Source organism: Homo sapiens, chromosome 7 (genome assembly GCF_000001405.40).
Source record: "Homo sapiens chromosome 7, GRCh38.p14 Primary Assembly".
Taxonomy (NCBI): domain Eukaryota; kingdom Metazoa; phylum Chordata; class Mammalia; order Primates; family Hominidae; genus Homo; species Homo sapiens.
In genome coordinates, this window is record NC_000007.14 from 103,187,138 (window position 1) to 103,210,664 (window position 23,527).

General features: G+C 36.1%; 1 pseudogene across 2 annotated transcripts in view; it reads right to left on the reverse strand.

Annotated features, from left to right (window-relative positions):
* Positions 1 to 23,527, reverse strand: part of DPY19L2P2 (DPY19L2 pseudogene 2) — a 105,454-nt pseudogene that overhangs the window by 12,125 nt on the left and 69,802 nt on the right. Inside the window, exons 17-20 of one of the 2 annotated variants that reach the window (NR_027768.1) lie at positions 23,130 to 23,176; positions 11,458 to 11,482; positions 10,050 to 10,169; positions 8,303 to 8,477 (exon numbers count right to left, since the gene is read on the reverse strand). The product of NR_027768.1 is annotated as a DPY19L2 pseudogene 2, transcript variant 1 (transcript). The remainder of the gene's footprint in view (positions 1 to 8,302; positions 8,478 to 10,049; positions 10,170 to 11,457; positions 11,483 to 23,129; positions 23,177 to 23,527) is intronic. The other variant, NR_003561.2, reaches the window with a different exon arrangement.

Sequence of the window (23,527 nt, forward strand, 5' to 3'; positions counted from 1 at the left end):
CCTGGCTCCTGGACAGCAGCATCTCTGGACCTGACTATGACCTGGGGGATCTTGCCACCCTGAAGGGAAGGTCACCAGCCTGGTTTGCTTTGCCACCTGCTGACTGTTGAGCCCTACACCTTGAGCAAACTTAGGTGGTGGCCAGGCAGTAGTTACAATGAGCTTTGGGTAAGACCCAGTGCTGTGCTAGCTTCAGGTCTGACCCAACACATTCCCAGTAGTGGTGGCCACAGAGATGCTTATATCACCCCACCCCCAGCTCCAGGTAGCTTAGCACAGAGAAAGAGAGAGAGAGAGACTCCATATGGGAGAGAGTAAGGGAAGAGAACAAGAGCTTCTGCCTGCTAATCCTGAGAATTCTGGATTTTATCCAAGACCACCAAGGTAGTACCTCTAAGAGTCTGCAATAGCTTCAGCATTACTGGGCATGGGGTGCCTCCTAGTGCAGATACAGCCGCCGCGACCAGAAACTTAGATCACAACACCAAAGTCCCTTTGAATACCTGGAAAGCCTTTCCAACAAGGATGGGTACAAACAAGCCCAGACTGCAAAAACTATAATAAATACCAAACTCTTCAATGCCCAGACACCGACAAACATCCACAAGCATCAAAACCATGCAGGAAAACATGACCTCACCAAACAAACTAAATAAGGCACTAGGGGGCCAATCCTGGAGAGACAGAGATATGTGGCCTTTCAGACAGAGAATTCAAAATAGCTGTGCTGAGGAAAGTCAACGAAATTCGAGGTAACACAGAGAAGGAATTAGTAATCTTATCAGATAAAGTTAACAAATAAATCAAAATAATTAAAAAGCAGAAATTCTGGAGCTGAAAAATGCAACTGACATGCTGAAGAATGTATCAGTCTCTTAATAGCAGAACTGATCAAGCAGAAGAAAGAATTAGTGAGCTTAAATTAAAGACAGGCTGCTTGAAAATACACAGAGGAGGTGAAAAAAGAATAAAAAAGAATGAAGCATACTTTCAAGATCTAGAAGTAGCCTTTAAAGGGAAAAATCTAAGAGTTATTGGCCTTAAAGAGGAGGTAGAGACAGCAGTAGGAAGTTTATTCAAAAGTACAACAGAACTTCTCAAAGTTAGAGAAAATATCAATATTCAAGCACAAGAAGGTTATAGAACATCAAGCAGATTTAACCCAAAGACTAACTCAAGTCATTTAATATCAAACTCCCAAAGATCAAGGATAAAGAAAGGATCCTAAAGGCAGCAAGAGAAAAGAAACAAATAACATACAATGGAGATCTAATAGATCTGGCAGCAGACTTTTCAGTGGAAACCTTACAGGCCAGGAAAGCATGCCATGACATATTTAAAGTGAAGGAAAAAACCTTTTACCTGAGAGTAGTGTATCCAGAGAAAATGTGCTTCAAACCTAAAGGAGAAGACTTCCCAGTGAAACAAAAGCTGTGAAATTTCATTCACACCAGACCTATCCTATAAGAAATGCTAAAGGGAGTTCTTCAATCTGAAAGAAAAGGACCTTAATGAGGAAGAAATAATCGGAAGGTACAAAACTCACTGGTAATAGTGAGTACACAGAGAAACACAATATTATAGCAGTGTCATTATGGTATATAAACTACTTATATGATAAGTAGAAAGACAAAAAGATGAACCAATAAAAAATAACTACAACAACTTTTCAAGAGACAGTACAATAAGATATAAATAGAAACAAGAAAAAGGTAAAAAGTCGGGAGATGAAGTTAAAGTTTAGAATTTTTACTAGCTTTCTTTTGGCTCATTTGTTTATGCAATCAGTGTTGTCATCAGTTTAAAATAATGGGTTATAAGATATTATTTGCAAGCCTCATGGCAACCTCAGGTTTAAAACCATACAATTGATGTACAAAAAATAAAAAGCAATAAATTAAAACACACCACCAGAGAAAATCGCCTTCAATGAAAGAAAAAGAGGAAGGAAGAGAAGACCACAAAACAATGAGAAAACAAATAACGAAATGGCAGGGGCAAGTCCTTAACAATAATAACTCTGAAGGTAAATGGGCTGAACTCTCCAATCAAAAGACAAAGAGTAGCTGAATAATAAAACAAAACACTAAGAATCTGTTACCTACAAGAAACACACTTTACTTATAAAGGCAAATATAGACTGAAAACAAAGGGATGGAAAATTATATTCCATGCCGATGGAAACCATAAAAGAGCAGGAATAGCCATACTTGTATCAGACACAATAGATTACAAGACAAAAACTATAAAAAGAGACAAAGAAGGTCATTATATAATGATAAAGGGGTTCATTCAGCAAGAGTATATAACAATTGTAAATATATATACACCCAATACTGGAGCACCCGGATACATAAAGCAAATATTATCAGAGCAAAAGAGAGAGACAGATCCCAATACAATAATAGCCTGAGACTTCAACACCACACCTTCAGCAGTGGACAGGTCATCTAGACAGAAAATCAACAAAGAAACACTGAACTTAATCTGCACTATAGATCAAAAGGACCTAACAGATACTTACAGAACATTTCATCCAACATCTACAGAATACACATCCTTCTCCTCAGCACATGGCTCATTCCTCAAGGATAGACCACAAAACAAGGATAGGCCACAAAACAAGCCTTAAAACATTTTTTAAAAATTGAAACAACATAATGTATCTTCTCTGACCACAATGGAAAAAAAACTAGAAATCAGTAGCAAAAGGAATTTTGGAAACTCTACAAACATAGAAATTCAAGAATATGCTCCTGAATGACCGGTGGGTTAATAAAGAAATTAAGAAGGAAATTGAAAATGTTCTTGAAACAAATGATAATGAAAACACAACACATCAAAACCTATGGGATACAGCGAAAGCAGTATTAAGAGGGAAGTCTGTAGCTGTAAGTGCCCACATCAAAAAAGAAGAAAAACCTCAAATTAACAACTCAATGATGCATCTTAAAAAACTAGAAAAGGGCAAACAAAACCCAAAGTTAGTAAGAGAAATGAAATAATAAAGATCAGAGCAGAAATAAATGAAATTGCAATGAAGAAAACAGTATAAAAGATCAACTGGTTTTCTGAAAAGATAAAATTAACAAACCTTTAGCCAGACTAAGAAAAAAAGACAGAAGGCCCAAATAAATAAAATCAGAGATAATAAAAGGAGACATTATAACCAATATTGCAGAAATTAAAGGATCATCAGAGACTACCATGAGCAACTGTATGCCGATAAATTGGAAAACCTAGAAATGGATAAATCCCTAGATACATAAAACCTACCAAGATTGAACTATATAGAAATCCAAAACCTGAACAGAACAATCACAGGTAATGAGATCAAATCTCTAATGAAAAGTCTCTCAGCAAAGAAAAGCCCAGGACCTGATGGCTTCACTGCTGAATTTTATCAAACATTTAAAGAAGAACTAATATCAATCCTACTCTAACGATTCCAGGAAATAGAGGAGGAAGGAATACTTCCAAACCCATTGTATGAGACCAATATCACTTTAATACCAAAACCATACAAAGACCCATCAAAAAAAACTACGGGCTAAAATCTCTGATTAATGTTAATGTAAAAATCCTCAACAAAATACTAGCAAACTGAATTCAATAACACATTAAAAAGATTATTCATCATGACCAAATAGGATTTATCTCAGGGACGCAAAGATGGTTCAACATAGCAAATCAATGTCATATCAACACAAGAGGAAAAATCATATGATCATCTCATCTCCATAGATGCAGGAAAATCATTTGGTAAAATTCAACATACCTTCATGATAAAAACCTTCAAATAAACTGGGTATAGAAGGAACATTAATCAACATAAAGAAGCTATATACAGCAAATGCACAAGTAGTATCATAGTATCATACTGAGTGAGGAAACACTGAAAGCCTTTCTTCTAAGATCTGGGACATGACAAGGATGCTCACTTTTTACCACATTATTCAACATAGTACTGGAAATCCTAACTAGAGCAATCAGACAAGAGAAAGAAATAAAGGGCATCCAAATTTGAAAGGAAGAGGCCAAATTATCATTGTTCACAGATGATATGATCTTATATTTAGAAAAACCTAAAGTCTCCACAAAAAAAAAAAAACTATTAGAACTGATAAATTCAGTAATGTTGTAGGATACAAAATCATACAAAAATCATTAATGTTTCTATATGCCAACAGAGAATAACCTGAGAAAGAAAATTTAAAAAGTAATTCCATTTACAGTAGCCACATATAAAATTAAATACCTAGAAATTAACCAAAGAAATGAAAGATCTCTAGAATGAAAGCTATACAAAACTGGAGAAAGAAATTGAAGAAGATACAAAAAATGGAAAGCTATTCCATGTTCAAGCATTGGAAGAATCAATATTGTTAAAATGTCCATACTATTCAAAGCAATCTACAGATTCAATGCAATCCCCATCAAACTACTAATGATATTCCTCACAGAAATAGAAAAAATGATCCTTATGTATTCGAAAACACAAAAGACCTAGAATAGCCAAAGCTACCCTGAGCAAGAAGAACATAACTGAAGGAATCACAATACCTGACTTCAAATTATACTACAGAAGTATAGTAACCAAAACATCATGGTACTGCCATAAAAACAGACACACAGACCAGTGGAACAGAATGGAGAACCCAGAAAGAAATCCATACATCTACAGTAAACTCATTTTTTACAGCAGTCCCAAAAACATACACTGGGGAAAGGGCAATCTCTTCAAAAAATGGTGCTGGGAAAACTGAATATCCATATGCAGAAGAATGAATCTACACCCCTATCTCTTGCCATATACAAAACTCAAATCCAAATGGATTAAAGCCTTAAATCTAAGACCTCAAACTCTGAAATTACTACAAGAAAACTTTGGGGAAACTCTCCAGGACTTTGGTTTGGACAAAGATTTCTTGAGTAAATACCTGGGAAGCACAGGCAACCAAAGCAAAAATGAACAAATGGGATGACATCAAGTGTAAAAGCTTCTGCAAAGCAAAGGAAACAATCAGCAAAGTGAAGAAACAACCCAAAGAATAAGCGAAAATATTTGCAAACTACCAATCTGACAAGGAATTAATAACCAGAATATATAAGGAGCTCAAACAACTCTGTAGGAAAAGAAAATCTAAAAATCTACTTTAAAAATGGGCAAAAGATCTGAATAGCCATTTCTCGAAAGAAAACATACAAGTGGCAAACAGGTACATGAAAAGGTGCTCAACATCACTGATCATCAGAGAAATGCAAATCAAAACTACAGTGAAATAGCATCTCACTCCAGTTAAAATGGCTATTACTCAAAAGGCAGGCAATAACAAATGGCTGTTATCCAAAAGACAGGAAAAGATGTGGAGAAAAGGGAACTCTCATACACTTTTGGTGAAAATGTAAATTAGTACAACCACTATGTAAAAGAGTTTGGAGGTTCCTCAAAAAACTAAAAATAGAGTTACCACATGATCCAGCAATCCTACTCTTAGATATATACCCCAAAGAAAGGAAATAAATATTTAGAAGAGGTATGTGCACTCCCATGTTTATTGCAGCACTTCTCACAATAGCCTAGATTTGGAAGCAACCTAAGTGTCCATCAACAGGTGAATGGATAAAGAAAATGTGGTACATAGACACAACGCAGTGCTATTCAGCCATAAAAACGAATGAGATCCTTTCATAAAAAAAGAATGAGATCCTATCCATAACATGGATGGAACTGGAGGTCATTACATTAATTGAAATAAGCCAGGTACAGAAAGACAAACTTTGCAGGTTCTTATTTGTGGGAGCTAAAAATTAAAAGAGTTGAACTCATGGAGATCAAGAATACAATGATGGTTACCAGAGGCTGGGAAGGATAGTGAGGGGGTGGAGGGGAAGTGAGGATGGTTAATGTGCACAAACAAAATAGAATGGATAAGATGCAGTGTTTGGTAACACAGAAGGGTGACTATAGTCAACAAAATTTTACTGTACATTTAAAAATAACTGAGAGAGTATAACTGGATTGTTTGTAACACAAAGGATCAATGCTTCAGGTGATGGATACTCCATTTACCCTGATGTGATTATTACACATTGTATGCCTGTATCAAAATATCCCATCTACCCCATAAATATATACACCTGCTCTGTACCCACATAAATTAAAAACTTTAAGAACCCTGAGTGTTTACTTTCCAGTATAACTAAGCATTCTAAATGCAACTTTGAATGAAAATTTCTTTATATGCCTCAAATTTGAAAATATGTAAGCTAGTCAAAGAATGTGTATTTATTAATGGAGACTCAATAATTAATGATCACAAACTGTTAAGCTAGAGAAGTGGTTCTCAGGCAGGCATGATTTTGCTCCCTAGGGAGCAGTGTCAACTTCTGGAGACATTTTTCGACGTCATGCTATGGGGAGGAGGGAGGAGATGCTGTTGGCATCTTGTAGATAGAGGCCAAGGATTTCTTGTAATACATAGGACAGCCTCAATGCCAACTGTGCTAAGGTTGGGAAATGCTGAGCAAGAAGAATTGAAAGCCCAGGGCCAGGGTCTTCCAAAAAAAAACTAGGCACACCTGTCCAGCAAGAGCTGGACCCACTGAGTTGTCACCTATGGCAGACGGAGAGGAAGAAATACCCTCCCACTCCACCTTCTGTCTTTTTGGCTGTGAAGTAAATGAGCATAACAAGGAAAAATCAGATATTTTCCTGTCACTGTATGGAAGTCTCCATTTAGCCTACTACACAGATTAGAAAAAGGTATTCCCCTGACTTGACAGAGCCCCATTATACATGGCTTGATGAGTGGACCACAAGCTGGATTTAAGCTTTCACTTATCCTCTCAATTGGTCACCTTTGTGCAGTGCACAAACTATACAACTGTATATGGCAGACCTCAATATAAGCACTAGTTCCACTAATACTACAAAACTTCATACAGCTTTTAATATGTGGTAACCATGAGATAACTCATAATAAGAGTAATTAAAAGGAGAATAACTAACCTGCACAATGTGCACATGTATCCTAAAACTTAAAGTATAATAATAAAAAAATAAATAAAATTTAAAAAAGGAGAATAAGACAGATTGAAAAGAAGATCAAAGAAGAGGCATCTAAAAGTGAGACAGGGGTTTGTGGCAGTTATCTTAGAAGGATAAGTTGCCAAATGTAGGCTCTCTGTCAGGAACCCAATACAAACACCAGAACAAAGAAAGACACAAGAAAAGATTAAAAGGGCAGCTATTTTTAATAGCTTGGGAAAAATGGCTATAACTGGGGAGGGGCAAGGGAGAGTAAAGAAAGGGAGTGATTACCTTGAGCTCCTACGTGGAAAAAGTCAGTTGGGGATTACTTTTAAAATTCTAATTAAACTGGCTTGGCAGTTTAATGAGGCACTGTCACCTACACCCTTTGAAAGCTATAGACCAAATATCTTACTTAAAGCTTATAAAGATTTACCTTAATTAAGGTTAATTAGAAAAAAAGTGGCTATCAAATAAGAAATGAAACAAGCTCAGGAGTCATAAGAAAATTTAAATAAATCATAGTGAAGAACTTGTGCCAGAGTAAGTTTCCAAATATCAAAAATAATCTTTGATTTACAAATTTAGTTACAGAAAATGTTATAGACTTATTCTCTGGAAAAGTATTTAAAAATATCTATCTGCTTGAGGTAGTTCTGAATAAAGACAGGAAGAAAAGAGGGTAAGCTAAAAAGAAAATTTTAGAGTATTTAAAAGTAGGATGTATACTATCTCTGTGAGATGATTTAGTGAAGAAAATAGAATATCCAAGATTTTAACTCTTCTGCCAATGCCCTGTTTTACAGAATTAGAGGAGACAGCACTGATTGCAGTGACAGAAGCGGTGCCAGCTAACTCCCCACCATCAAAAGTATCTTCTGCTGTAGCCTGGCACAAGGTGTGAAATTTCATTTTTAAAGATTTACTTCTTTGATTTGTCATTGTTATGGTTAAAATGCTATAATGCTGTCTGAGGGTTAAAGGACATAACTTGTGAAAAATCATTAATTTCCTGGTGCTAATTTAAATTCTTTGATAATTATCTGGGAGGGGCTTAAAAGGAGTACAAAATTGCCTTTTGGAAGGGTTTAATTGATTGACATTGCAATAGTCTGCTCAAAGTCTGTGAGAGTATGAATGCCTATTTGTAAATCTGTCATACATACATACACACATATATCAGAAATGACAATAATTATATATAGTATACACAAATGTGTCTGTGAGTATGTTTGTATAAAACTAGCATATAACCAAATACCTACACACCTGGTACGGTATTGTATTTGATCCACTGTAAAAGTTCTTCCTGAGGCAAATCATTAAATTCTCCTGTTATGCTCCATTGATTACAGAGGTTTGCATAACCTTGTATTGACATCACTGTTAGAATGCCAAAGATAACATTCTCTCTGCGAACTCTGCGAAAAAGCCAGCCAAAGAGCTGAAACAAAAGAAACAATTTATTTCTAGTTCTTATATGAAGAGTACTGTAGGGTCAACAATAAATTCTCACCTTGTTACTCAAACCAATGTGAATTACCCTTTGATATCAGCACACATGTATACAGAATTATCATCTCCGATTGTTTCTAAAGCAACAAATATATTGGCATTACAGGGCCCAGGTGAAAACAGAACTTTCTCTCCCCTGGGAAGAATTAAGGAAGATATACCTGATCCTTCTAGTACTAATTTACTACTAAGGATTAAAATAAACAAATCACAACTGTGAAACATCTTAGAACTAAATCCTTTCATCCTTGGCTGCCTTTTGTGGACATGGTTAGTAGACAGGGAAGCCCTATTAGCATGATATATATAGATTCTTCTCAGGAAAACAGGCATTATGATATTTTAAGGCTATACACTCATAATAAAAACTAAGTAAGGTGTTTGTAGAAGTACCTTAGGCCCAATATTCTAGCAATTTATCTAGTTCTTTTGTATGTTAGATAACAGTGATAGAACCCCAGAATTTCTTATAGATTGTTCGAGCCAAACAGAACCATATTAGAGCAATTACTCTGCATCTACTCTGGTATTGGATGAGTATTTCAGGGTACTTTTGGTGAACCAGGAAACTCTTTTTTTTTTTTTTTTTTTTTTTTTTTTGAGGCAGAGTCTCACTCTGTCTCCCAGGCTGTAATGCAGTGGTGCGACCTCAGCTCACTTCAACCTCCACTTCCCAGGTTCAAGCAATATTCCTGCCTCAGCCTCCTGAGTAGCTGGGATTACAGGCACACACCACCATGCCCGGCTAATTTTTGTATTTTAATAGAGACAGGGTTTCACCATGTTGGCCAGGCTGATCTTGAACTCCTGACCTCAAGTGATCTGCCCACCTCGGCCTTCCAAAGTGCTGGGATTTCAGGTGGGAGCCACTGTGCCTGGCCACCAGGAAACTCTTTTTTTTTCTTTTTCTTTTTTTGAGACAGTCTCACTCTGTCACCCAGGTTAGAGTGCTGTGGTGCGATCTTGGCTGACTGCAGCCTCTGCCTCCCAGGTTCAAGCGATTCTCCTGCCTCAGCCTCCCAAGTAGCTGGAATTACAGGCACTCGCCACCACACCCGGCTAATTTTTGTATTTTTAGTAGAGATGGAGTTTCACCATGTTGGCCGGGCTGGTCTCGAACTCCTGGCCTCAAGTGATCTGCCCATCTCGGCCTCCCAAAGTGCTGGGATTACAGGTGTGAGCCACTGTGCCAGGCACTCTTACACAAACCTGAACTCTAAAAGGTTATGTTCATGGACAGGATATTAACAGAGGGGAAATGTTTGCCTAATCACTTGTTATAGAAATATCAATTAAAATCCAGAAATACTTTTCAAAGCCACTTGAAATTGCTTTTCTTGCTTATAGTGAATCACGAAGTAATATTTTAAATCATTTAACTTAGTTAAGTTAAAAACACTTAGTGTGTTTATATTTTGAATTAGTCAGCAAAGCCACGGTAACTACTAAGTATAGCTGCTATAGTTTTTATAGTATTGTTATACAAGAATGAATCCCTTACCCGTCAAGAGCATATCAAGGAAGCCATAACACACATGTGCTGTGTCAAAAACAGCTTTAGCCTCAAAATTAAAATGGCAAGGGCAGTAAATGCTAACAACTGCAATGTGTGAAAAGCCAGCTATAAAAACACAAATAAGACAAAATCACATTCTTACTTTTCATATTTTTAAATTAATGAAGTACATTAAAACTATATTATTCATTAAGACAAGGATCTTCTAACTTAGTAATAAGCCTATCAGTATTCATTCAACAATAATTTATCAAATGTCTACTATGTTCCAGGTACTCTTCAGGGTGCTTCAGATACAGCAGTGAGCAATTTCTGTCCTTGTATTACATTTAACTACATTTAGTAATGAAAGACAGACAATACATAGAAATAGCAAATAAATGAATCCATTACATAGTCTACTGTAAGGCAATAAGTGCAGTTGGCAAGAAAATGGAGCAGGCAGAGGAGGCAGGGAGAGGAGGAGGTGGTTTGAGGAGGCGGAGGACCAACACAGTGGGCCTCACTGTAAAGTGACAAAGTTACTAATGAATCCCTGATCCAAAAATCTGAAATCTACAATGCTCCAAAATCTGAAACTTTTGAGTACCAATATGATGTTCAAAGGTTATGCTAAAACAAATGCTCATTGAAGCATTTTGGATTTTGGATTTTCAGGTTAGGGATGCTCAACTAGTAACTACATTGTAAATATTCCAAAATTCAATAAAATCTGAAATCTGAAACGCCTCTAGTCCTAAGCATTTTGGATAAGGGATACTCAACATGTGTCATAAACTATCTCTATTAAGTTCAAATTCAGTTACCCACTCCTGTAAATTTGACCTTTACCTCAAGACCCACTTAAAGTTCTATCAAATAGGAAATATTTCCAGCCCACACTGATCTTTTCCTTTTTATGCCACAAAATAATTTTACACGACATAAAATGTTGTCTTATTTGTCTCCTTTGTAAAATTACACATACCGAAGGGCAGGAACATGACTTTAGTATCTTTTGTATCCTTCAACACTTCTGAGCTTGTCACTGACTGACCAGCAAATCTACGTGGTGGCAGATGGCCACCAGTCACAGGGCCAAGGGTGCCTGCCCCAATGGACTGTAGCTGATTAGCTCAGCAGGCTAGAAACCAAATGCTTGTTATTGTTAAATGAATGCAATTTAATTTAATTCTGTAGTATAGTCATAAATCAGCCTTCTAGCTTTTAAATCCTTATTACTATTCAAAAGTAAGAGCAGATGAAAGAGTGAGAAGGATCAGCAGAAATTTATCACCAATGCTGAACAACTCACTACTGATGGTGCATCAGCAGCAAGGTTATACCTTTGTCAATTACCCTCAAACTAGAATTTAATACACAAGTCTACCAGAGATTAAAATGAAAGCTTTACCTCACTGTGTTCAAGGAGCTGTTTTCTAGAATAAAACAAAAATATTATCTATTTACTGAAGGTCTTCTATACTATGAATACATAAAAATAAGATTCATTTGTTTGATCTTGGATTTTTAAAATGTGACTATCTCTAAACTACTTAGGAACATACATAAAAATAAAAATATCACATAATAGTACAAAAATTACGACAATTTAAAAGTCATAATTTATAGTCATCCTATTCAAGATATGTCAAAAATTTGTTCTTTGGTTAAGACAAAATAGATTTTACAGATCCCTGGAGATTGTACCTCTCATTAATAAATGAATAGGATGACCTTCTATTCAACCTATATATACAGTGTATACAATACTTTAGATGACCACTGAAACTTTTGAGTTATTTTCATTTTTCACAATTACAAATAACACGGACACTCATGCATAAAACTTTGTAAGCATCTCTGAATATTTCCTTAGCATAAATTTCCAGAAGAAAAATTATTGGGTAAAACATAAATATTTTTAGTTTCAGAAAAGTTGTCTCTTTACAAAATATTTATAGTACACCTACTGTATTCTAGGCACTGTGCAATGAAATGAATACCACAGTCCCTGCTTATCCTCCGATCCTCACTTTCCACAGTTTCAGTTACCTGTAGTCAACTGCAGTCCAAAAATATTAAACGAAAAGTTCCAGGAAATAAACAATTCCTAAGTTTTAAATTGTGCACCATACTAAACAGTGAAATCTCAAGTCACCCTGCTTCATCCTACCTGGGACATGACTCACCCCTTTGTCCAGCATATCCATGCTGTATACGTCACCAGCCTGTTAGTCATGTAGTTACCATCTTAGTTATCAGATGGACTCTGGTGGTATCTCAGTGCTTGTTTTCAAGTAACCCTTTTCTGACTTAATAATGGCCCCAAAGTTCAAGAGGAGTGATGCTGGCAGTTGAGATATGCCAAAGAGAAGCTGTAAAGTGCTTTCTTTAAGAGAAAAGGTGAAAGTTCTCAAAAGAAAAACATCATATGCTGAGGTTGCTAAGATCTACGGTAAGAACAAATCTACCCATGAAATTGTGAAGAAGAAGAAAAAATTAACGTTAGTTTTGCTGTTGCATCTAAAACTGCAAAAGTTATGGCCACAGTCCATGATGAGTGCTTAGTTAAGACGGAAAAGGCATTAAATCTGTGGGTGGAAGACGTGAACAGAAATGTGTTCCGATGGTGGCAATCACGTGTGTTACTCTCTGCAGTTTCAAGCATCCACTGGGGGTCTTGGGATGTGTCGCCCTGCAGATAAGGGCAACTGCTGTGCAGCATGAACAGTATGGAGACAATACTTATCTTCATGGAGTTTATATTAGAGTAAGACAAGAGGTAGGAGACTGCCTATTTTATTGTTCTCTTGAAAAGACTGGGTATTTTACTTTTATGAAAGGCTTTATAGCCTGCAGGGGCATTCTAATATGGATTTTGGGGGTGAAGAGACAAATAGGTGTGGAAAGTAAGTTCAGGGGTTCAGAGACCCATAGGTTTTTTAAAAGAGAAGTCAGGGGAAGGTCTCTTAAGGTAGTAGTGGAGTCCAAATTATTCTATGTCCCTTGTAGCTCCTACCCTTTGTATGCAGTAGTTTTTTTTTTAAATCGAAGACGGGGGAAGGTCTCTTAAGGTAATAGTAGAGACCAAATTATTCTATCTCCCTCGTAGCTCCTTCCCTGTGTATGCAGTTAACGGAGTGGGGTTTCCCCACTTGTCCCGCAATCTAGGCACAACAGATTCCTGTAGTGAGCTGCGTGCAAGGAAGAAGCCTGGTAGGTGAGTAATTATTATAATCACCAAGAACCCTGAAAGTAACTACTGATACTTTATTTAAATCAAGTAGCTAACTAAAAATGTGAATATACAACCAAATCCCAAGACACAAATATCATGAAAAGGAAACATCAAAATAAATAAGCAAAAAACTTGACCTCTCATGAAACAGCTAATGCAAATGAAAACTCCAATTATTGTTTTCACAGAAGTTTAAAAGGATAATGCACCCATATAATTAAAATAAGCTCCAGTGAAAAGGAGTTTTCAGAAATTCTAAGAAAAATATATTTGCCTAATTTAAAGCCTCAAAAGAAAGCTGAAGAGCAAAATGTACACAGCTGAAGTTGACAGTATTAAAGACTCAGTGATGATATTCTCTGAGAACACAGAAAGAAAAGAAATAGATAATATGATAAAAGCAATAATAGAAATTCAAAAAAGAGAGGCTAAAGTGAAAGAATAAGAGAACAACAACACACACACATCACCCCTCCAAACCTTATGTATTTCCAGAGAGAAAAACTATATAGGAATTTTCGTCTGTAATCCTTAATGCTAGAACGCAAAGAAGCAATGTCAAAAAAATGTTGAATGAAACCCACAAATATCTATTAACCAATCTATCAATCAAATATGAGGGCAAAATAAAGCCATTTTTCAGGTAAGAAAGCACCCAGAAAGCATGCCAATTCTACATGTCAAGGAAAAATAAATCAGTAAAATTTGAAGTCAAGTCCAAAGACTGCTGGTGTCTTTAATGTAAATGTTTAGAGACTTCTTAGAACATAACAGATAAGACAACAATCTAGAAAGTAAATTTCAGCATAACCTGGAAGGAGAGGGTGTCTAGGCAAGGACAAGTAGAAATATTCCAACAGCTCAGTGCTGAAGCAAGCAGGTCTCTAGGTACAGAGCCTGAGTATGAGTTCTGCCTCCACTACTCACTAGCTGTGTGCCTTTCAGAAAATTACTTACCTTCTTACTGGTTTCCTCATCTGTAAATAATGGGAATAACTGACTCCCTTCTCACAAGGTGACTGTGAGGATTTATTGAGTTAATACTGGTAAGAAGCTTAAAATACTGTCAGACACACAGGAAATAATAACTGTTAGCTACTATCATTGGTGGTAACAGGTTTTAGATGCTGATGAATTCTTAATATCAAGATGAATATATTTGCTAATAATTTAAGAGAAACCACCAGGAAATATAGAAATGGGATATAGCTAACAATTCAGCAAGTATCAAGAAAATAATTTTTGAAAAGCACGATGAATAGAAAACATAAAATCAGATGGCAGGGAGAAGTACAAACACAGCAGTTATCACAGTTAATATGAAAATGGGTTAAATTCACCAATTAGAAAACGAGTATTAGAGGAATTTGAATAGAAAAAATCTAACAATGAGAAATATACCTAAACCAAAATGTCACAAAAATGTTTAAAAAAAAGCATAAATACAGGTAAACCAGGAAAATCTATAAAAAAAGAAAGCAGATGTGGCAATATTAATTTTATACAAAGAAAAATTTACAGCAAAAAACCACTAAGTAAAGCAAAGAATATCCTTTATAATAAAAGTACAATCCTATAATAATCATGCAATGAACAACAGCACTATCTATATAAAGCAAACACTATTAAAATTACAAGACAATTTTGAAAAATTCATTTTTCATGTTGTATGTGAAGACAGCATTCTAAGAAAACAGATAAAATAGAAAAATAACTTGATGTACTAGACCATTTAGAATAGCACTATTAATAACATGATATAACATGTAACTTTGAACTTCCCCTAAATAAGAAATGAACATTTAAAAAATCCTCACAGAGCATTTACTAAAACTGAACATCCATCTCAATAAATAGCAAGTTAATTTTAAAGGCAAAATATACAACAGAAGAAACTAGTTAGACATTTTAAAAAATTATTATTATTATTATTATTATTATTATTATTATTATTGAGACGGAGCCTCGCACTGTTGCCAGGCTGGAGTGCAGTGGCAATCTTGGCTCACTGCAACCTCCGACTCCTGGGTTCCAGCGATTCTCCTGCCTCAGCCTCCCAAGTGGCTGGGATTACAGGTGCGTGCCACCACACCCAGCTAATTTGTGTATTTTTAGTGGAGACGGGGTTTCACCATGTTGGCCAGGATGGTCTCGATCTCCTGACCTCGTGATCCGCCCGCCTTGGCCTCCCAAAGTGCTGGGATTATAGGCATGAGCCACCGCACCCGGCCTAAAACTAGTTAGACATTTTAAGACATTCTTCTAAGTGATTTTGGATTAAATGATCAAAACTCAAATCACAGACTACACAGAAATCAACATTAATGGTAATGCTACACACATCATGGGATACAGTGTGCGTTTTCTTCAGAGAAAAAGTTATAACTTTAAATGTATTTACTAGGACACAATAATGATTGATAATAAATGATGTGAACTTTAGACACAGAAAAACAAAAGTGCACCAAAAGAAAAACTAAGGACATAAACATATAAGCAGAGATTAATAAAATGGAGAACAACCTTCATAAATATAAGGAATAAAACCAAAAGCTGGTTTTATGAAAAATCCAAAAAAGAATGACCTTGTTATGGACTAATGCAGCTGGTGACTTTCAGTTGAAGCCAATGTTCATTTACCACTTTGAAAATCCTGAGGCCTTTTTTCAGAATTATGCTAAATCTACTCTGCCTCTACTCTACAAATGGAACAACAAAGCCTGGATGACAGCACATCTGTCACAGCATGTTTTACTGAATATTTTAAACCCACTCTTGAGACCTACTTCCCAGAAAAAAAGATTCCTTTCAAAATATTATTGCTCATTGACAATGTGGCTGGTCACCCAAGAGCTCTGATAGAGATGGACAAGGAGATTAAAGTTGCAGGAAAGCAGGCTGGATCAAGGAGTCATTTCAACTTTCAAGTCTTGTTATCTAAGAAATATATTTCATAAGGCTATAGCTGTCATAGATAGTGATTCCTCTGATGGATTTGGGTAAATTGAAAATCTTCTGGAAATGATTCACCATTCTAGATGCCATTAAGGATATTTGTGATTCGTGGATGGAGGTCAAAATACTGACATCAATAAGAGATGGGAAGCAGTTGATTCCAACTTATTTTCTACTTTATCTGTCATTTTCTTAGAATGCTTTCTTCTCATATAACATTAAAAATGATTCCAACCCTCATGGGTGACACTGAGGGGTCCAAGACTTCAGCAGAGGAAGTCATTCCAGATGTGGTGGAAACAGCAAGAGAACTTGAATTAGAAGTAGAGCCTGAAGACGTGACTGAATTGCTGCAATCTCATGATAAAACTTTAATGGATGAGGAGTTGCTTCTTATGGATAAGCAAAGAGAGTGGTTTCTTGAGATAGAATCTACTCCTGGTGAACATGCTGTGAACATTGTTGAAGTGAAAACAAAGGATTCAGAAGATGACATAAATTTGGTTGATAAAGCGTGGCAGGGTTTGAGAGGACTGACTCCAATTTTGAAAGTAGTTCTACTGTTGGTAAAATGCTATCAAACAGCATTGTATGCTACAGAGAAATTTTTCACGAAAGGAAGAGTCAATCAATGTGGCAAACTTCATTGTCTTATTTTAAGAAATTGCCACGGCCACCTGATCAGTCTGAAGCTATCACCATTGAAGCAAGACCTTCTACCAGCAGAAAGATTACAACTCTAGTGTACATGTCAGGATAGACATTATCCAAAAAACAAAAGGTAGTAAGTGTTGGCAAGAATGTAGAGAAATTGAAATCCCTGCACAGGTGGAATTTCAAATGGTGCACCTGCTATGGAATACAGGATGGAGGTTCACCAAAAAAAATCTTTAAAAAATTAAAAGTAGAACTACCATAAAATCCAGTAATCCCACTTCTAGGTATTTATCCAAAACAGTTGAAATCAAAATCTCAACAAGATACTAGCACTCTCATGTTCACTGCAGTGCTATTCATAGTAGTCAAGATGTGGAAACCGACTAAATGTCCATCAACAGACGAATAATGAAAATGCGGCATACAAAAACAATGGAATATTGTTCAGCCCAAAAAAAAAAGTAGGAAATTCTTCAATGTGAGACAGCATGGATGAACCTGAAGGGCATTATGCTAACTGAAGTAAGCCAACCCCACAAGATATATAATGCAAAATTCCACTTACATGAGGTATCTAAAATAGTCAAAGTCATAGAGTGAAAGAGTGGAAGGGTGTCACCAGGGGCTGAGACAAGGGGAAATGGAGAGTTACTAGTCAACAGGCTTAAAGCTTCAGTTAAGCCAGATGAATAAGTTTGAGAGATCGACTATAGAATGTTATACTTATAGTCCACAATACTGTATTATACAATTAAAAAATCGTTAAGAGGGTAGATCACATGTTAAGCATTCTTACCAAATTTTAAAAACAAGTGTAGTTATTAATAAGGAGAAAAAATATATAATAATCCCCAAAATATTTTTAAAGCCATTTTTAAAAAATTTAACATTCATTTTTTACTGCTTTATTGAGTTACAATTCACACATTATACACTTTCAACATCTATCTTTAATTTAATTTTTAAAATTATCCTGGTTTATATAAACCAAAAGGAAACTTTCTTTTTTTCTTTTTTTTTTTTTTTTTGAGATGGAGTCTCACTCTGTCTCCCAGGCTGGAGTGCGGTGACACAATCTCAGCTCACTGAAACCTCCGCCTCCCGGGTTCATGTCATTCTCCTGCCTTAGCCTACAGAGTAGCTGGGACTACAGGCGCCCACCACAACGCCCAGCTAATTTTTTGTATTTTTAGTAGAGACGGGGTTTCACCATGTTAGCCAGGATGGCCTCAATCTCCTGACCTCGTGATCCGCCCACCTTGGCCTCCCAAAATGCTGGTATTACAGGCATGAGCCACCGCGCCTGGCCAAGGAAACTTTCTTAATGAAATAAAGGCTATCCATTATATACTAACAGCAAATGAAACAGTGAGACACTAAAGGCATTCTTCACTTTAGAGTCAGAAACAAAATAAGGGCAAGCCCATCATCACTGCAATTCAAAGTTGTTCTGGAAGTTCTAGCTAATACACAAGACAAGAAAGTAAAGAAGTATAAATATTAGAAAGTTATTACTATTTGTAGATTATATGATAACCTGCCTAGAAAATCCAGAGCATCAATGGAAAAACTATTAGAACCAGAAAGAAAGTTTGGTAACATGGCTAGATAAAAACGTGTTGCAAAAAAAAAAAAAAAAGTAAAGCAGCTTTCCTATAAACTAAAAGATCAGTATAACAGACAATCTAAAACAGACTCAAGTACAATGAGAATTGATAAGTGATAAAAGCTGACATTTGGAAAAAAGATTTATGCAATACTGTGTTGGGACAATACCTCACTAGAGGGGGAAAGGTAGACTCCTCTATGTCACTATACCACAAAATTAATGCAAGAGTAATAAATAACCTCTATGTAAATAGAAACTTATGAAAGAAAATATGAAAAAAAATTTCATGTTTTTGGTGTAGGGAAGTGTTTCTAAGCAACATATGAACCCAGAAAAAATATATAACTGTGATTGTACAGAAACTTTGAAGTTCTACAAAGCAGAGACCATAAATGAACTATAAGTTGACATTTTGGAAGAAACTGTGTAATACACATAAGAGACAAAATGTTATGTCTATGGAAAAAGCAAAAACATAACACATAGCCGGGCACAGTGGCTCATGCCTGCAATCTCAGCACTTTGGGAGGCCCAAGTGGCTGGATCACTTGAGGTCAGGAGTTCAAGACCAGCCTGGCCAACATGGCAAAACCCTGTGTTTACTAAGAATACAAAAATTAGCTGAGTGTGATGACGGGTGCCTGTTATCCCAGCTACTCCAGAGGGTGGGGCAGGAGAATTGCTTGAACCCCGGAGGCAGAGGTTGCAGTGAGCCGAGATTGTGCCACTGCATACACAGCAGCGAGATGAAAAGAAAAAAAAAAAAACAACCCACAAAACAACTTTTAAAGGTCAAAAAGAAACATAGTAAACAAACACATGAAAAGCTGCAAAACTCCACTGACATAGAATTTATACAATAAAATGAATTGTTTTTACCTATCAGAAAAAATTAAAAGCTTGATAACGATGTTGGTGGAGTTGCAGAGAAATGGACACTCTCATCATTATAATTTCTCAGTTTTAACAAATTCTAAAATATGCAGGCCTCATAATCAGCAGTCCAAATTCAAATATTTTATACTATAGAAATACTTAGAATAAGTCTACCAAGATACACAAACCAGGATGTTCAATCCTCAAAACATTGGTTTTTTTATGACAAAAGTTATATATAATCTAAACTTTCATTGATATGGGAAAGGCAGTCATGCATGATGGTCAACAATAAAATCCTAAGACCATTATAAAATATAATGAAGATCAAGGAAGAGGCCCAAGACACACTATTAAATACAAGTAACAAGTTACAGAATAAGTAGAATACAATTCTATTTTTTAAAAATATTGTGTTTCTATATGTGTTTTCTAAAATAAAACATACAAAGCTACTTACAATCAGCACTCAGGGGAGCAGATCTAAGAGAGGGGAGTATTCCCTCTCTTTTTGATACACTGGTTTTTCAGAATGTATTACTACTAGCCTCTGCTATTATTATTTTTGAGATTTAACCCAGAACCCTCTGCCCACACACAACAGGCCTGTCACTTTCAAATATGTAATCAATACATAGACTTCCATATTCTGAGTAATTATCTTCCATCCACTGATCCCTCCGAGTCTGTCACTTCCACATTACACCCTCTGCAACATATGAAGACAGTTGCCACATACCCTTCAATCTTCTATTATCCAGTTAAATATTCCAAGACCCTTCATGCACTCCTTATGGGAACAGTGTCCAGGGTTCTCCATTCATTCTTTTTTAGAATGCCAAGACCCATTTCCCTGGGCTCCATCTGTCCAGAACAATGTAGAATGGGTCTATTATCCCCTTTATTTTGGAAAGAATTTCAACAGACGCACCTAAGAGCTTAATTAGCTCTTCTGACAACCATACACAGCTGTTTATTAAAAATACAAGCATGGAGTATGGAGTTCATAGAAATTCTTTCTACTATCTTCACAATTTTTCTATAAATCTAAAACTATTCTATAAAGTAGAAGTCACAAAATAAAATCAAATATTCTATTTACAAATATAAAATGTAACTTGAAAATTACTATTAGGTACTATGCTCACTACCTGGGTACAATATACCCATGTAACAAGCCTATACATGTGCCCCCTGCATCTAAAATAAAAGTTGAACACTAAAAAACATGTCATTTGAGATCATATTTCCCTCAGAAGGAAATTTTCTTCACAATTTACTTCTTGAGCCTTGTAGCAATTTACTTATGTGTGACTGATATGATATATTTTGCTGGCATCTGCTTATGCTAGTGACATTACTAAAACCATCCAGAATTGTTATACAATAAATAGTTTCAACAATAAGTTTAGAAGAAAATTCATAAATATTCAGGAACACAAATAATTTTACCCCCTCTGAAAGTTAAAAAAAGAAAGAAAAAGAAAACCCTGACCAACATGGTGAAACCCCCTCTCTACAAAAAAATACAAAAATTAGCTGGGCATGGTGATGCACACCTGTAGTCCCAGCTGCTTGGCAGAGCTGAGATGAGATGATCGCGTGAGCCCAGGATGTCCAGGCTGCAGTGAGCAGAGATCATGCCACTGCACTCCAGCCTGGGTGACAGAGCAAGACTCTGTGAAAAGAAAAGAAGAGAAGAGAAGGGAAGACAAGAGAAGAGAAAAGAAAAAAGAAAAGAGAAAAGAAAAGAAAAAACAAGAGAAGAGAAGAGGAAAGACAAGACAAAACAGGGAGAGAGAAGGAAGGAAGGCAGGAAGGAAGGAAGGGAGGAAGGGAGGGAGGGACGAATTCCAAAAATTGCCAAGGTAATTTATAGATTCAATGCCATCCCCATCAAGCTACCAATGACTTTCTTCACAGAATTGGAAAAAACTACTTTAAAGTTCATATGGAACCAAAAAAGAGCCCGCATTGCCAAGTCAATCCTAAGCCAAAAGAACAAAGCTGGAGGCATCATGCTACCTGACTTCAAACTATACTACAAGGCTACAGTAACCAAAACAGCATGGTACTGGTACCAAAACTGAGATATAGATCAATGGAACAGAACAGAGTCCTCAGAAATAATGCCACATATCTACAACTATCTGATCTTTGACAAACCTGAGAAAAACAAGTAATGGGGAAAGGATTCCCTATTTAATAAATGGTGCTTGGAAAACTGGCTAGCCATATGTAGAAAGCTGAAACTGGATCCCTTCCTTACACCTTATACAAAAATCAATTCAAGATGGATTAAAGACTTAAACGTTAGACCTAAAACCATAAAAACCACAGAAGAAAACCTAGGCATTACCATTCAGGACATAGGCATGGGCAAGGACTTCATGTCTAAAACACCAAAAGCAACGGCAACAAAAGCCAAAATTGACAAATGGGATCTAATTAAACTAAAGAGCTTCTGCATAGCAAAAGAAACTACCATCAGAGTGAACAGGCAACCAACAAAATGGGAGAACATTTTCGCAAGCTACTCATCTGACAAAGGGCTAATATCCAGAATCTACAATGAACTCAAACAAATTTACAAGAAAAAAACAAACAACCCCATCAAAAAGTGGGCAAAGGACATGAACAGACACTTCTCAAAAGAAGACATTTATGCAGCCAAAAAACACATGAAAAAATCCTCACCATCACTGGCCGTCAGAGAAATGCAAATCAAAACCACAATGAGATACCATCTCACACCAATTAGAATGGCAATCATTAAAAAGTCAGGAAACAACAGGTGCTGGAGAGGATATGGAGAAATAGGAACACTTTTACATTGTTGGCGGAACTGTAAACTAGTTCAACCATTGTGGAAGTCAGTGTGGCGATTCCTCAGGGATCTAGAAGTAGAAATACCATTTGACCCAGCCATCCCATTACTGGGTATATACTCAAAGGACTATAAATCATGCTGCTATAAAGACATGCACACGTATGTTTATTGTGGCACTATTCACAATAGCAAAGACTTGGAACCAACCCAAATGTCCAACAATGATAGACTGGATTAAGAAAATGTGGCACATATACACCATGGAATACTATGTCGCCATAAAAAATGATGAGTTCATGTCCTTTGTAGGGACATGGATGAAATTGGAAATCATCATTCTCAGTAAACTATCGCAAGAACAAAAAACCAAACACCGCATATTCTCACTCATAGGTGGGAACTGAACAATGAGAACACATGGACACAGGAAGGGGAACATCACACTCTGGGGACTGTTGTGGGGTAGGGGGAGGGGGGACGGATAGCTTTAGGAGATATACCTAATGCTAAATGACAAGTTAGTGGGTGCAGCACACCAGCATGGCACATGCATACACATGTAACTAACCTGCACATTGTGCACATGTACCCTAAAACTTAAAGTATAATAATAATACAAAATAAAAATAAAAAAATAAATCTTTAGCTTACTGACTTTAAATTCTAATCATATATTATAATTTATCAATTTAAACTTTGAGTTAGTTCACAAATATAAATTTCTCCAAAACAAGTCCAAATACATGTAAGAAATCTGTAAGAATAATATTTTTAAGGAAACATTTAAGTTTGGTTCATATCTCCTTTCTTAATCATAATGCTAAAGTTTAATGCATATTCATTTGAAAAATTAATGCTACAGTAAATTATTTAATAATGGAATACTGTATGTTTTAAAAACAATGATGATATAATTACCTTAGATAAACGTTTGTAGCTAAAACACGCGAAATATCACCAACAGTCTGTGAATAGAATCAAATCAATGAAACTTTTGTAAGGAATACTGCAATATTTAAAATGCTCTGATTCATTAATATAAACACTCCGCCAAGGAAAGAAGTATTCTTTTAATGTTTAAGGGAGTCCTCAGGAACAGGATGGTCATACTATAGATGTCTTCCTTTTCTCCTTCTGAGAAGTGACTTCACATCATTGAAAACTAAATGACCTTCAGAAGTATCCTTGGGGTGAAAAGTAAGCCACAACAGGACAAATAAAGACTGAGGGGTTTATAAGAAAGCAGAAAGGAAGGAGTGAAACTTGGCTGGCTGCAGGGATGAGAGAGAGAGAGAGAGAGAGAGAGAGAGAGAGAG